At 38.5% G+C, this 16,369-nt stretch overlaps 1 protein-coding gene across 17 annotated transcripts in view; it reads left to right on the top strand.

Moving 5' to 3' along the window:
• PARD3B (par-3 family cell polarity regulator beta) overlaps positions 1 to 16,369 on the top strand; it is a 1,074,688-nt gene that overhangs the window by 747,523 nt on the left and 310,796 nt on the right. For 16 of the 17 annotated variants that reach the window (XM_047443208.1, NM_001302769.2, NM_205863.4 and 13 more), the window contains 2 exons: positions 7,533 to 7,739; positions 8,467 to 8,704. In XM_047443208.1, coding sequence (XP_047299164.1) covers positions 7,533 to 7,739; positions 8,467 to 8,704 — 445 coding nt within the window. The remainder of the gene's footprint in view (positions 1 to 7,532; positions 7,740 to 8,466; positions 8,705 to 16,369) is intronic. The other variant, NM_057177.7, reaches the window with a different exon arrangement.

Below are 16,369 nucleotides of genomic sequence, written 5' to 3' on the forward strand. Positions count from 1 at the left end.
TGAAACTGAAAAACCTCACTTTCTATCAGTTCTGTAAATAACTCAGTTATTGAGAATTGAAATGCTCTTTTTTTTCAAGTACAATCGGATAGATATAAAAAGGGGAAAAATACAAAAAATTATAAAAATAGCATTTAACCTTAAAAAATACAGGTGCCCAGGCTATACAATATGTAAAGATACATTCATATATGTACCCTCCAAGAAATCAATCAAACATTGACCTTTTATGTTATGCTAATGGTTTTTGAGGAAACATTAAAATTCTTTATATTATGCCTTATTTTGAGAGTACTGTCATATACAACCCACATAAACATACAAACCACTCAACAATCAAAAGCAGAAGAAACATTTACTGTTTTAGCAAGACATACAAAGAGTTAATGGCAAAAGGAAAGAGAGGGAAAAAATCACCGCAATGGTCTGTGTTTAGAATATAAAGCCTGTTACCAAGGTATACAAGGAGGAGCTGGAAGGCAAATAAAGGTGTTCTTGGCAGTAGGTAAAATTAAGACTATTTAAAGCACACATGAGGTGGAAATGGCAGAAAACATTAATATTACAAAGATAAGTTAAGCAAAAGGAACAACTAGTATGCAAAGAAAGGCAAAATACAGAGATGAATGAATAATTATGGGTAGGGCAGTAATTATTAAATCATTGAAAGTATGTAAAAGAACCTAAGGGTTGTATTAACAAAGAAGAGGAAGCTGTATGTGGGCTTTGAGGAAGTGAAGCAATTGTGGACTGTTTCTCCATGTAAAACTTTGTTCAGTCTCACAGCACTGAAGAAAAGGGGCATCCCAGTGTTGTAAGTACCCTTTACCTTCATGTTCCTTTTTTCCTACAACAAATATTTGTGCAGTAGATCTCTGTACTGAGGATAGAAAAATCAATAAGTCTAGGAAAGGTAGGTAACATTTTTTGATGCTGTATCACAGGTAGGAAAATTTCCCACACTGGTCCATTTATTTGACCCTCAAATGAGTATTCTATTACTTATTTAAATAATAAAGGTAGTGTTTTCCTATAAGTACCCACATGTCTCTTCTGGAGACCAATGCTGTGTACTTAATTTTTCAGTTATTTTCTTGAATGCAGCTTTTTATTTGTTTTTTGTTTGTTCATTTTGTTTTTTTAATCCAGTAGAGTCTTTCTAAGGGAGGAAAGAATGAAAACAAAAGATTAAAACAAACCAGCATGCTGGGAATGGTGTTGTCTGGGATCCTCAGTTGCCCTACCAGAATCTACCCACAGATAAGGTTATATATGTATCTTTAGAAATAGTTTAACCACTAAGTTGAACCATGGAGTATATTTTCTTATCTGTAAGATAGAAGAAAAAAGAAAAACAAAAATGTCAGAATATTTTTGGGGTAATGAATTCACTATTTGTTACATTTTGGGGACATAATCTGAGTTCAGGAAAGAAACCTAAACAAGACATAAAATTTTGACTATTTGTTTGTGAAAGAAGGAATTTTTAGTAAAGAAAATTAAAGTATATAGCAATACTTGGCAAACATTTGAACACACTTGAAGGGCCATGCTCATACTCATAATCAAGGAATTTATTTGTTCACATAATCTTCCGATATTTTCTCTGGATAGTTTCACTTTAAAATAAAGTATTTGGAGATAGGGTAGGAGAGATTATGCAAATGTATGAATCTTAATGAGAAGTTCATTATTGAACATTTTGATGTGAATTTCAGGAAACGATAAAAGACCCTGGGATTTGTGAGACTTAAAAGAAAAATTCCACTCTTGGAGAACTTGGAAATTGCCAGTAAAAGAACTGAGACCCAAATGACAGCAGATAATGTAAAGCCAAATTGCATTATGCCCTATGGTAATGAATAGGAAACAGGGCACTGTGATAAGCTTGGAATGATGATCAATATTTGGAACACTGTGATAGGCAAGAAGGTAATTAGGCCCATTATGAACACAGTGAACACAGATAACATAACTTGGGAAATTATACATTTGGATATTATGGAGAATTTTTTAAAGGCTAATGGATTTGCAATGATATCAAGTAAAGCATATAAGACATTTTGCCTCTAGGAAATCTACTTAAAAAATCAAACAGAAAATTTTCAGTAAATGTAATCTAAAATGAAAAGACAAAGTGAAATATGTGGGAGAATAAAGTGGTATTGTGACTCCTACTTGGAATTTACAATAATTTTGTATTCAAAGAGTTTTACATTTATTAATTTCACATCACAACTCCCCATGCAGCAGGAAAGGCGTTTCTATTGTGTTTGTCCAAGTTGACTGCTCATAATAAGGCAAGGCCAAATTGATAATAAAAGCAAGCTATCTTGACAAGTTCTCAGCCTTCCCAGGTCTCATGCTGTGACCCCTGGATGGCATTATAATAATCTTGATCCCTAATTTATGATGGGAAACAATCCCTTTATTTTAGAAGGAAGGATTGTAAATTAATTAATTTTCACTAAGTGCCGTGAGGGCCATTGATGTTATTGGAATGTACAAATTAATACATTATTTATTGTTAATTTATCATAAGTATTTGTTAATTACAAAGCTCTAGCTGGAAGAAAAACTTGCCATGTATCTGGAAGTGAATATCTTCCCTAAGACAATTTCTCATTTTTTAATATGGATGTATTGGAAGCAATTTCATCAATAATGGAAGATCCAATTACTGGTCTTCTGGATTAAGACATTCTTTTATTGTGAGATTTTTAATGCTAAAGTGGGAAGTTCAAACATTGCCAATTAAATCTCAGACTAATTAGGTGATTATAGCCTAAGGAGAAGGGCAACTAAGACTCCACTATTAATCTATCTTATCACAATGGCCTCTATATGTGATGAACAGATGAACATATATATACCTGTGTCAAAAGAAGAAATGTAAGGCATTGTTTGAAAAAACAATTTCAGGAGTTTAATTGTTTTAAAAAAATTTAAGGAGTTGTTTCCCTTTTTGAATAAAAAGGGAAAGCATTTTTTATGAAGTCCTTTTTAGCTGTTTGTAGAACGCATGATCATATTTAAGAATTCAATGATGGATTGAACCAAATCTAAGATTTCCCTCATTGAAATGTTTAGAGGTGGTACAAAAGTGACTGTGACAGTAATGATCACCATTGCTTTATGAGCACTCACGATGTGCCAGGCACCCTTCTATGCTTTTCTTATCCTCAATATGATAGCTGAGGGAACTGAGGCACAAAGAGGTTATTAACTCAAGAAGTAATTAGCAGGGCAGGGAATGTTTGGATATTCTACAGCCTCCTTTTAATCCTTCAGTATTAACCACTACCCTCTAGACAGTTTTATTCTCAATTATTCAAATCATCTGCCTGTGGAGAAGCAACAGCAGTGCTCAGCTGTAAGGCAAGGGCAGGAATCCAAGACTGAGTCAGAGAAACTGAGGTCCACATCCAAACTATCCTCCAGGAAGGACCTTCTGTTTCATAGCATGTTGAAGTGAGGCTTTCTATAATACCTGGAAGGCTGGGGCAGCGGTTTCTCAGCATCTTAAGAATCAGTTTCATAGTGGCACCTCTCCAACTAGGTGGTAGCTCTCTCATGGGCCTCTTGCCACCCTTTTTATGCCTACAGGACACATGGGCATTTTGCCTGGCACAGCTTAACTCTTTAGTCTTGGAGTGTGTTTGTGTATGTGTGTGTGTGTGTGTGTGTGTGTGTGTGTGTGTTCATTCTTTTCATAACGCTGTATTTTTGGGAATGGAGGGTAGTAGGGGATGTATCGGAGGATTGATCTGTGCAGAAGACATGACCCTGAAATTTCCCTCTACTCTATATAGGACCATGTCAAGCTAATCCTTCATTTGGAAACAGATGGAATCTTTAAAAGCGCTATAACATCTTTTTAAAAAAAAAAAAATATGTGGCATTTTTTTAATGAGGCCACAATTTTAAGAGAAAATTTGGCACCTGACATTAAGAATGTTTTTATTATACCACCTTGAGAATAATTTTTATGTGAGATCCTTCTTTTAGCACCCTTGATAATTGTGTGTCATCTGTTTCATGAATCTTGTGTATGTTGAGCTCATGTTTGTGAGGGGAGGATCCGTTCTTCTCGATCTTAAAGAACATGGACATAGAAGCCACAACCAATATCGCATCAGCTATAGATGAAAATATGAAGAGTCATCATATTTTAGGATAACTTCAATGGGATCAATTGGCTGAGGTTTTGATTTTGCTAAATTACTCACTTGAAAGAGACCTCTTCTTGAGACCCCTGGTTTTAGTGAAAGCCTAGAAAAAAAAAATGTGATTTTTGTAAATGGTGAGGCTAGACATAGACAGTGAATCTTCTCATTTTAAAAGCTGTAAAATTTTCTACGCACCATCAACCTAAACTGAAATTGGTGAGAGTAGGAGTAGGGAAGAGGGATTGAAAGTGGCAATTTATTGTACTCCACACAATCTTTACAGGGAGGGTATTTTATTCCAAGTGTTTTGTTGGAATTTAACACTGATGCCTTTCAATTGACATTATAATCCCTTACACAGCAGGTAACCTTGACCTTCTGTAGGAGCCCTCAAACATATGAAAGACATGGGGATCCCTGGAGAAGGTGCTTGTCAGAGCCCCCAGTTCAGTCAGTTCACTGTACCTGTAAATCCTTATAAGGACTTTCCTGATTTTGGTTCTCTTCTCTAACATGAGTCCCTACTCTACAGCTACATTCTGTGCATTCTCCAGGAATAAATAGAATTTTTTTTCCAATCCTGAAAACTCCAGAGTCCACATTTACAACCTAAGGACTCAACCACCCTTTTTGCTTTTAATATTACCATGTATTACATCCAATAGAGTTAGGTTGTAATATTGCCCAACATCAGTTAGTACTTCTACTTTGTGACTTCTATTTATATAGAGTGAATTAATTGCCAACTCTATTAATCTTGCAAAATCCATGAATCCTTAATGTTCAGTTTGCTTAGAATGAGGAACAGTGTATTTGTTTCTTCTTAGCTATGACTTCTTGCTGAGCTTCACATGAGCTCCTTTTAGATAACGTGCCTTCTATCTTGGACGATTTATTCACTTTCATGTTCCCTGGAATTTATTGCTAAACGTTGACGTGAATGCTTACAGTTTGGGCTCTAATGTAATCTCCTGAATGGCAATTAATAAATAAAAGATGGTTACTATTGCTGACAGAGAATCAGGGCTTTCTCAGATAGTTTTCATCTTCATGTTTTCACTAAACTTCATGTCAGACATCCCTAGGGGCTGATATTATAAAATATTTTCTGTAAACTCCAAAGCTTTTACTATTGCTTCTATACACCCAAACCTCTGTGATGCCTTTTGTTTTCTTGTCAGAAATCATCTTATTCAATTTCTGTTTCTTCAACTTATCTTCCTTCCTGGGAATATAAAAAATATGCCTCTTTCTGGATTTAATAGTGACATATCCTCAGTATTTATGACTTGCAAGTAACACCTGAAATTTGTCCCTGAAATTTTTTGTATTTTTTTTTTTGCTTAGTCTTATCTCTGTTGCATTTATTGAATATACTCTGTTGAATTTACTGAATACTGAATTGCACTTACCCTACATTAATAGCCAGTAGGGTTTATAAAATCTAGTGTTTATTGTCATCCTGTATATTGTTCAAAGTGCAAAGTTGTCTCCTATAAGTTAATGATGAAACTATAACGCAACATCCAATTTTTGCAGTTTGCCTACTTGACGAGGCTCCAGGGTTAATCTAGCCTAATATTCTTATTTTAGAAATGAGGACAATGTAGGGCAGTTTAAGTTGTTTGACCATAATCAAATAGAGGGTGCAGAGCAAATACATCTTTAGACAGTAAAGTACATGGTACACAGCAGAAAAGCTGGAACTAGGCTGCCTCGGCCCAGCTCCTGGTCTGGATGCTTATTAAGTGTTTAACTTTAGACAAGTTATGTCAATGCTGTGTGCCTCAATTTCTGAATCTGTAAAATGGGGCTAAAAGTAGTACCAGTAGCACAACTATAAGGATTATAGTAAGTTACTGTGGGTGAGGCATTTAGAATAGTGCTTAACACAGACTAAGCACTCCATGCATTATTAGCTATTACGATTATTCATTATGTTGACTATTTTTAACACGTTCGGATCATAGGTAAAGGTGTGTATTGCTATTTCACTTCACATAGGTATATATATACATCAGTGCTTTTTTGTACTTCTTTTGTATTCCTTAATGCTGTGTGCAGCTGCTAGTAGTAGTGTTCATAGTGGCAGTGATAATAGAAGCAAAAATAGTGATGATAGTAATAAAAGATAGTGCCGTTTATTGAGCCTTGCTAGGTGCTAGACATTGAAGTAGGTACTTTACATACATAATTCTTAATAGGTACTCTTGTCTATTGATAAATGACACAGTCGTTTTTTCCCAGAAATGCAAGTAGACTTCATGACAGTAGTCTCCTTCGTAACTGGAAAGGAACATGAGCTGTGGCCCTGGTGGAAAAGCTTTGACTGTAGAGACAAGAGCCCTGATAGAATTCCTTCTGTCTTAAAGATAATCCTGCTAATATTATATATTATATATATATATATAATATATATATATAATGCTGCTAATATTTATATAACCTAATCCTGTTATTGATAATTGAGAGACTAGCTGGGGGTGGGAATGGAGGTCAAGGAATGGAGTGGGAGGGGGCAGGTAGAGGGCAAGGCAAACCGCACAAATGAAAAACATTATATACCAGAAAAGCAATGATTCAAATTCAGTTGTGCTCTATATTTTCTGTTTTATAATTTTATATTGCATTAAAAGGTTGCCTCTTTTCTAGATACCAAATAGGAATACATTCAGAACTATAGCATCGACACAGAAAAGTTGTTTTCTTTCTTGCTTTGCTTGCTTGATTGATTGATTAAATAAATGGCAGTTACCATACATTAATAGCCAATAGGGTAAGGTAAAGTGTTTAATTAGAAAAATCACAGTCACTTCAATGTTCTTTTATTTCCATGCCCAGTATGTTCCTTACTAATCATATGAGCAACCATGGCAATGATAAAAGCTGTCAGGTGTGGGAGTGCTAGGACGATACTGGAAGAGAAGCTCTCGTCATGTTAGGTGCTTGGTATGTTTGTGTGTGTGTCTGTGAGTATGCATGTGTGTATGTGGGTATTCTCACATATGTGAAATCACTCTCATTCACATACATAGTCTCTATAAATAGCTACAGCCTTTCAAATTCATAGGTGTGTGTGTATATGCCTATAGACACACATGCATATACACTTCTGCATAGAGAGAAATGTACCTATAGTCATATTAAATTTTATCACAGCTTTAGAAAAGGAAACAGAGGCTCAGAGAAGTCAAACCACTTGTTCAAGGTTACAAAAGGTGGCAAAGCTGGAGTATAACCCCAACTCCCACCCACTTAACACCCCTTTTTTGGGATGTCCAGACAGAAATATTCTTAGAACAATAGCATTACACCACACTGCCCCATTAGAAGAGGGGTGACCTTTTGCCCTTTCTTTTCCAGAATCTCCAAGCAAAGATTTTGGTCCAACTCTGGGTTTGAAAAAGTCCAGCTCCTTGGAGAGTCTGCAGACTGCAGTGGCCGAGGTCAGGAAGAATGACCTTCCCTTTCACAGGCCCCGGCCGCACATGGTTCGAGGCCGAGGCTGCAATGAGAGCTTTAGAGCAGCCATTGACAAATCCTACGATGGACCTGAAGAAATAGAAGCTGGTAGGATGATATGCTTCCTTAAATGGCTTCTTCATCTCATTATTATCTGCAAATCATGGGCAAGAATGTGTGCTCAACTACAGAAAAAAATGATTTAAGGATCACAATTATATTTTTGATATTAAAAGTAATTCATTTTCCTGATATGTTTTGCCCTTTGGCTTAATGAACATGGAATTGGAGAACACAATATGCAATTTATTTTACAGTGCAAGGCTAAATAAATGTTCTCCTTCACTTTTCTACAAGGACCAACTGTCATTTACCCTTAGGGTAGGAGCACTAAGTATGCATTTCTTGACATTCTCATTCGAGTCATTAGAGGCAGCATCAATCCAAGGACTCCGACTGCATTAATTGGGTAGAAGCAGTTGGGATATTTTGTACTCAAAACTCTCTTCTCACCCTGTTTGTTTCCCAGCATGCAGGCTTTCTGAGCTGATCAAGGTTAACAAGGCAGCTTTCAGAGAGATTAGTGCTTGAACACATATCAAGCCTTTCATACTACCAGCTAAGCAACCGGTTGTCCCCACTCCCAGCATCAAGTCTTGCTCGAAGTAACCAGATTTAGGCAGTCAGATCTTCAAAGGGCGCACGTAACCACATAGAAGGGTAGAACTACAGAGTGCTGTTATTCATTCTTTTGCATTTTACATGTTAGCGTTTCTCTGTATACTAACTGAGTGTGCCCCTGACCATGGGTATTGATTATTTTTTCTCTGTACAGACGGTCTGTCTGATAAGAGCTCTCACTCTGGCCAAGGAGCTCTGAATTGTGAGTCTGCCCCTCAGGGGAATTCGGAGCTAGAGGACATGGAAAATAAAGCCAGGAAAGTCAAAAAAACGAAAGAGAAGGAGAAGAAAAAGGAAAAGGGCAAATTGAAAGTCAAGGAGAAAAAGCGCAAAGAGGAGAATGAAGATCCAGAAAGGAAAATAAAGAAGAAGGGCTTCGGCGCCATGCTGAGGTATGGGCCTGCTTTGAAGGCAAAGTTGGTTCTCATTTTGTCTCTCCTGGTAAAATCACTCCTTTGTCTGTACTCAGAAAAAAGCGCACGCTTTTCCTCGTCTTCAGCCAAATGCATACGGCTCTCAATTCTGTGCTCGTTCTCTTTCTGCAGAGGCAGAGGAGCTTTTTGGGGAAAGTTACAGTGATGACAGGACACTGTCTTAAGTTTGTTGTCAAAGAAAGGTCAACACTATGCCAGGCACGGTGGCTCATGCCTGTAATCTCAGTACTTTGGGAGGCTGGGAGGATTGCTTGAGCCCAAGAGTTCAAGACCAGCCTGGGCAAGGTAGGGAGACCCTATTCTTTTTTTCTTTTTTCTTTTCTTTTTTTTTTTTTTTTTTTTTTTGAGACAGTCGCGCTTTGTCGCCCAGGCTGGAGTGCAGTGGCGTGATCTCGGCTCACTGCAACCTCCGCCTCCTGGGTTCAAGCGATTCTTCTGCCTTAGCCTCCCTAGTAGCTGAGACTATAGGCATGCACCACAACGCCCAGCTCATTTTTGTATTTTTAGTAGAGTGGAGTTTCGCCATGTGGGCCAGGAGTCTTGAACTCCTGACCTCAAGTGATCTGCCTTGTCTGCCTTGGCCTCCCAAAGTGCTGGGGTTTCAGGCAGGAGACCCTATTTCTAAGAAAAAAAAAATTAGCCAGGCACAGTGGTGCATACCTGTAATCCCAAGTACTCAGGAGGCTGAGGCCAGAGCATGGCTTGATCCCAGTAGTTCAAGGCTGCAGTGAGCTATGATTACACCATAAAAGAAAGGCCAATACTTAGTAGAGGCATGGACAATGCCTGCAGTCCTTTGTACCAAAGTGTTATGAAAATAAATACTTCCTCTGACACCACAGGGAAAGTGGGAAGTGGGGAAGCCCTATGTGTTACCTCTGGAATACCTCTTTTGAAGCAGGGGAGTCAGGGTAGATGAACCTCATCCCTCTGTGACTCTAGGTGTGCAGTGGCCGGGCCTCTGGGCACATCACTTGTCACCTCCAGAGGCACTGTGGTACAGGGGAGATGTCACTGGGTCTGGGCTCTGATGCCCAAGTCTGGATCCATGACTCCCCACACATGAGCAATGGGGCTTCACACACATTGCTTAGCTTCCCTGAGCCTTACTTTCCTTACTTTTAAAATGAGGCCAGCATACTTGCTCTACTGACCCAGCACAGTTGTGAGATATGATTTCATATGCTATACATTCATTGACTAGACGGGGCTCAACATGGCACAGTCAGAAAACAGCTTTGTTTCTTCTCTCCCCTTCAAGTATAAACTGTTGAGGCTGCCTCTTCCACACCCTGACATCTCAGCTTTCTGGCTGATAGCTTTCTGGTCACTTTTGGGTAAAAAAAAAAGCAACTTGTTTGTCGGGGGCTAAAATATGCAATCCAATATAAATGAAAGCTTTCTTCCTTTCTGCCTGTTGGACCTGAACCACAAGGAGCATCCTATGGTATGGTGGGAGGCAGGATTCCACCTTCTCCTATTTCTCAGTCTTTGGAACCAGGAGACAAAGACAAGATTCAATAGGATAGGATTTTACTTAACTGGCATTATCTGGTATAATCTGGCCATCAAGGAATCTTTGTGGCTACTTTTGTGGATTTTTTAGAGTGCTCCTTACTATACCAGTCACTAATGTAGGTGATTTTCCCACTGACCTATTTCCCTAAGCCTCTGACCTCAGACATATACCCCTGAGTCTCCTTACCCCGGCTGGTAGACTTCTTGGACAGTGCCAGTTTGAGACAGCTCTAGCTTAACTTACAGCCACAGCATCTACCTGGCTTATTAGAGTTCCTGATCTCCCACCCTCCAAATGATGCAAGTACAGCTTGTTCCCACTGTACCGCTCCTCCTCACCCCACCATAGAGATGTTCCAACCAGCCTTGCATCTTCAGACTTCTCCAGCACATCCCACACCAGCTCTGGGCCTCCTCACTCCAGAAGCACACATCAGACTCTCCCAAGAATGCTGTCATGCATGGGGAAGGGAGGAGGCAGTCAATTTTTGCAAGTCACAAAATAAACAGGTAGGAAGTGGGGTGACAATCTCCTATTATACAATTACCTCCAAATTCCCTAAGGGGTTTACTTGTAGCCCCCTCACTTATTTTGTTGGGTGTTACAGGCAGAAGTACCCCTTTCTATTACTGTCTTTACTCCTATAATTTCTTCTCAAATCAATTGATCACTATACTTCTGTGGGCTGAAGGTGAATGATGGGAGATGATGGTTTAGGGGCCAGTTTGGCCACCTCTTATGAAACCCTTAGGAGATACCTCATTTAAGAATGCTGCGTGTATTTATTACCAATTGTTCTCATTTTGTGATCATCAGCTGAAATTTCTACATAGAAAAGAAAGTTCCATCATTCCATATATAAGTGACATTTAGGGAATACAAATAATCCTCTTAGCAGTGAGCCTTCCCGTTACATTTCCAGTGCTCATGAAATGCTAAGCAAGGTTCCTCATGCTCAAAATCTTGGGAGCGATGTTGCCCCTGGATGTGTTATGACAAGACTTGCTGCGGTCCTGCTATCACCTGGGGTGAGGTTACCCCAGCAGGCCTGATGTCATAATAGCTATCTGAATATTAAAAAACAAAATTTTGGCCAGGCATAGTGGCCCAAGCCTGTAATCCCAGCACTTTGGGAGGCCAAGACGGGCGGATCACCTGAGGTCAGGAGTTCGAGACCAGCTTGACTAACATGGAGAAACCCCTTCTCTACTAAAAATACAAAATTAGCCGGGCGTGGTGGTGCATGCCTATAATCCCAGCTACTCGGGAGGCTGAGACAGGAGAATCGCTTGAACCTGGGAGGCAGAGGTTGTGGTGAGCCAAGATTGCACCATTGTACTCCCGCCTGGGCAACAAGAGCAAAACTCCATCTCAAAAAAAAAAAAAAATTCAGCTAGGCATAGTGGCTCAGGCATGTAATCCCAGCACTTTGAGAGGCTGAGATGGGCAAATCACTTGAGCCCAGGAGTTATAAGACAAGCCTGAACAACATGGCAAAAACCCATTTCCATAAAAAAAGGAAAAAAACACAAATTAGCTGGGCATGGTGGCATGTGCCTATAGTCCCAGCTACTCAGGAGGCTGAAGTGGGAGGATTGACTTAGCCTGGGAGGTAGAGGATACAGTGAGCCATGATCCCTTCACTGGACTCCAGCCTGGGCAACAGAGTAAGACCCTATCTCAAAAAATTAAAATTAAAAAGAACAAAATTTCAGCAAATTGAGTTCTAACAATTGAATTGGATTTTATTAGTGATTCATAAATTGGTCCACATCCCATCTACAGAATAGAAGGGCATTTGAGTGAGATGAGCAGAAGGTGTGAGCTTCATAGGCAGAAAAAGACTGAAGAAAGCAGAAACAAGGAACAAAAAAAGGATTGCTCATTTCCAAATTGCATTCCTTATAGGGTTAAAGTAGAGGGACTTTATCATTCCAGCTCATGTCACTGGTCCTCCTTTGATTAGTTGCTGGGAATCTCCTATATTTTGGGAAACTGACCCATTTCTAAGTTCAGTTTGATTATGTGGCATGTAGCATGAGTGACTCCATTCTGGTTTGGTCTGGTCTGTTGTGGCCTAGTGCAGGAGCTCAAATAATGGCCTCCCATACATTTTATTGAATATGATCTATAGTATAGTAAATGCCAGATTGGGACAGATGTCCCAATAGACATTCGTCCTGATGGCCTCTGTAGACTCTGTCCTTCCAGTTGCCATTTTGAATTTTAAACTTGCCCATATTCTAGATAATTATTAGGATTGCCAGAATTTATGAACTGTGAGTTAACCATCTTGATGATAATGACAACATGTAATTGCAATATATTTAGATAAGAATTTTGTCTTTGAAGGGATGGAGTTGAGAGGTGAAAATTACAGGCTCTGCCTACAGACTTTCTGAGTTCAATCCTGGCTTCTCTAATTTTCACTTCTGTAACACTGAGCAAGTTCTTTAACTTCTGTTGTCTCAGTGTCTTCATCTGAAACATGAGAAGCATAATAGAATTATCATTTTTATGAGAATCATATTTTATTAGATGTAACATGGTTAGACCTGTGCCTGGCAAGCAATAAACATTCAATAAATGTTAATTATTATAGTAAACATAATAATGACCCCTGAAGGTGTCTGCATCCCAACCCCCAGTACTTGTGTAAATATTTTGTTACATGACAAAGGAAAATTAAGGTTGCGGGTGGAATTAAGGTTGTTGATCAGCTGACCTGAACATAAGGTGATTATCCTGCATTTTCCCCAATATACCCAATGTAATCACAAGGAGCCTTAAAGTAAAAGAAGACAAGGTGACTGTGGAAATGAGGTACAGAGAAATGTAGTGCTGCTGGCTTTCAAGATGGAGGGAGGGGACCATGAGCCAAGGAATGTAGGCAGCCTCTAGAAACTAGAAAGGGCAAGGAAATGGATTCTCTCTGGGGAGCACTAGAAAGGAATGCAGCCTAACAACTCCTTGAACACCTTGGTTTTAGCCCTGTTGTGTTCTTTGAACCACTGTTTGTTGTAATTTCTTACAGCATCAAATCAAAAACTAATATAGTTATCATCATAATTACTTTTACTACTTTTATGATATCATAGTAATGTATAAGGAAGAGTTTTTTCTTTAAGGTGTTAACGAAAAACACTATTAAAATATTTAACTAAAATAGTCTGTAAATATAAAAACTGTTAGAGCTTCACATATCCCATTTTCTAGAATATTACTAAATTAAACCTTAACTTTATATTTTATTTCAGATGATTTGATTTGGCATGTTCATACTTCATTGCCCATAATACAGTGCTGGTTCTTCCCTTTTATTGTCCCATATATTCTGTATTTTCATGTAGTAGAAATCACAGGTCCTGGATCCTTTAGACATTTAGCACCTCGGGCTTTGTTTCTTTCCACGATTTTAGCAAAGTTAAGATCTGAAAGGTGGTGTTTGATTTTATCTTCTGTGTAAAAATAGCAACTGTTTTCCATAGCCTTTTGCATCTGAGTTTGTGAGCATATTGGAGTTACTGCTACATGCACATTTTCAACAACAAAGAACACAAAGCTGTTACCATTAGCCAACAGATTTTGCTTTAATTCTCATCTGTTGCTCAGATGCTATTGACTTAGTTTCTTTCTTATTTAAAAAAAGATTGATTGCTTTAAGGTTCTCTTGGAGTTAGATGTGTGTTTTAAGTATGTATTATTTTTTCCGTTATCTGCGTTTCTCAGATGCTCTCCTGAAGATAGGGTATTGGGATGGGTCATGCAGTTATACCATGTAGAATGGCACCTGGCCAAGGGGGTGAATGAAGATTTAAATCCTGCCTCCCTTTCCTCACCAAGGCTGGCATCATGAAAATGTGAATGCCTTAGTGGTGTTCTTGTTCTTGTTTGTGAAAAGCTAAGTGTTTGCACTTTTCTGATATTAGCTGGTCCATTTGTGTCAATAATATGTAGTAGCACAGTTTAACTTCTTAATTTAACCTACTCTTGATCCTTTTGAAAAAATTACAGAGGATGTCTTTAATTAATATCTTTATACATGTTGTCTAATTCCAATATGCTTATACTTTGTTGATTTCAGAATTATCTCCTTGCATGATTCAAGTGTGATTCTTATATAGACCATGAATTATTATTATTATTGTGGAAAAATATGCAGCTCAAGAGCCTACCAATTTTGTAGTTTCTCTGTATGCTCTGTGCTTAAATTTTTTCATTATATGTTTGAGTTCCATACATATTGTGCTCTTTATGGCACTAACCTGCAGAAAGACTGTTCATGCCCCTTTCAGCCAAAGGGTGAAGCTCCAGCTCCTTTAAAAGACAAGCCCATTGCTGTCAGTCCTAGGCCACCTTCCTGGGGCCTAGCAGATTTTTCTAGGAGCCAAAGAGAAATATCCTTTGACAAAGAAAATTTTACCTTGTCTAAAGTGGAAAACCCAGAGATTAGTTTCTGATTTCTTACTTAATAACCTTGTCAATCCTTATGTTACTTAAACTAAATTCTGTCATAGATTTATGTTCAAATCCATTTTTTTTATATAATAGCTGCTGTTGTCTCTTTTTGATATTATAGGCCACTCACTTCAAAAACCTTTGAACTGTCAACTTATTTTGGACACTGAATGGAAAGGTTTGATATGGTTCAGATTCCCTTATCTACAACTTTTATAAAATTTGATCCTAAGAGGAATTATGCCTTGCAAACTCCTTTTTACTAGACTAATGAAGAACCAAGTACAAACGCTGCCAATAGGAACTTCATCTTTGCTTTTAAAATGTGTTTGCCCATATCATTTGATTAGTAACATTTATTGAAAGCCTTGTCTTTGCCAAGCACATTCATAATTATTTTTATGCTATATCTATTAATTTATTGTAATCAATAATTAAACTTATCAGTTAATTTATTAAAGCCCTATTTTGTATCAGGCACTGTTCTAGGCACTTGACACACAGCAACCAAGTCCTGCTTTAACAGCACTTTTCCTGTCTTAATAAAGGAAGGAAGGATAAAAACTTTTGAGTTCATTGTGGTGAGATTAAAACAAAAACAAGCAGCCAGGCATGGTGGCTCTCGCCTGTAATCCCAGCACTTTGGGAGGCCGAGGCAGGCAGATCACGAGGTCAGGAGATTGAGACCATCCTGGCTAACATGGTGAAACCCCGTCTCTACTAAAAAATACAAAAAATTAGCCATGCGTGGTGGCGGGCGCCTGTAGTCCCAGCTACTCAGGAGGCTGAGGCAGGAGAATGGCGTGAACCTGGGAGGTGGAGCTTGCAGTGAGCCGAGATAGCACCACTGCACTCTAGCCTGGGTGAGAGCGAGACTCCGTCTCAAAAAAAAAAAAAAACCAAACAACAAAACAAAACCCCAAGACAAGCAAAATATTACATAAACATGTAAACTATTTGTAACAGTGGATTACCCAGGGAGTGAAGGGGATATTCACTAGATATTTCAGGGACAATCCAGTACCCCATCAGCTCGAGGGAATCAATGGTCAATTTACATGGTGTCAAGCAAGACATCCAGGCCATGGCTCTCACGGAATTTACATTCCAGTGAAGGGAAGAGAATAAACAACTAATCCAAAATAATTGATACGATTCCAAATTGTAGTAGGTGCTATGAAAAAGGTAAAGCAGAAAGAATGGTGTCATCCCACCCTTGGTGACGGTCTAACAGCAGAATAGAGTGCACACTGCACACAGCCCAAGCTACACTGAATTTTCAGCAGATACGTTATCAGAATTTAGCACACTATGGTACTAAAGCCAAATCACTTTATGCCTGCTTTTGTTTTCTTTTTTGCAACTTATAAATATGGGAAGGTTATTTTTAAACCAACTCCACATAGAGCTATAACAAAAAACTAACCCAAACTGTGTCTGTTTTAGTACACAAAACCCTAGGATACCTGCAGTACACATTCTAAGACAGGTGGGCATTAATGTAAATGGTGAACTTGGTTTACAGGTGATTGGATCAACTCTGTTCCTCCTACCTCATCAGCTGGATATTCTTTATTGTTTCTTCTCAACTCAGATAATGCAAGCATACCTCAAAGATAGACTAGTTCGGTTACATAGTGGAGCAT

This window comes from Homo sapiens, chromosome 2 (genome assembly GCF_000001405.40).
Source record: "Homo sapiens chromosome 2, GRCh38.p14 Primary Assembly".
In the NCBI taxonomy this organism is placed as follows: domain Eukaryota; kingdom Metazoa; phylum Chordata; class Mammalia; order Primates; family Hominidae; genus Homo; species Homo sapiens.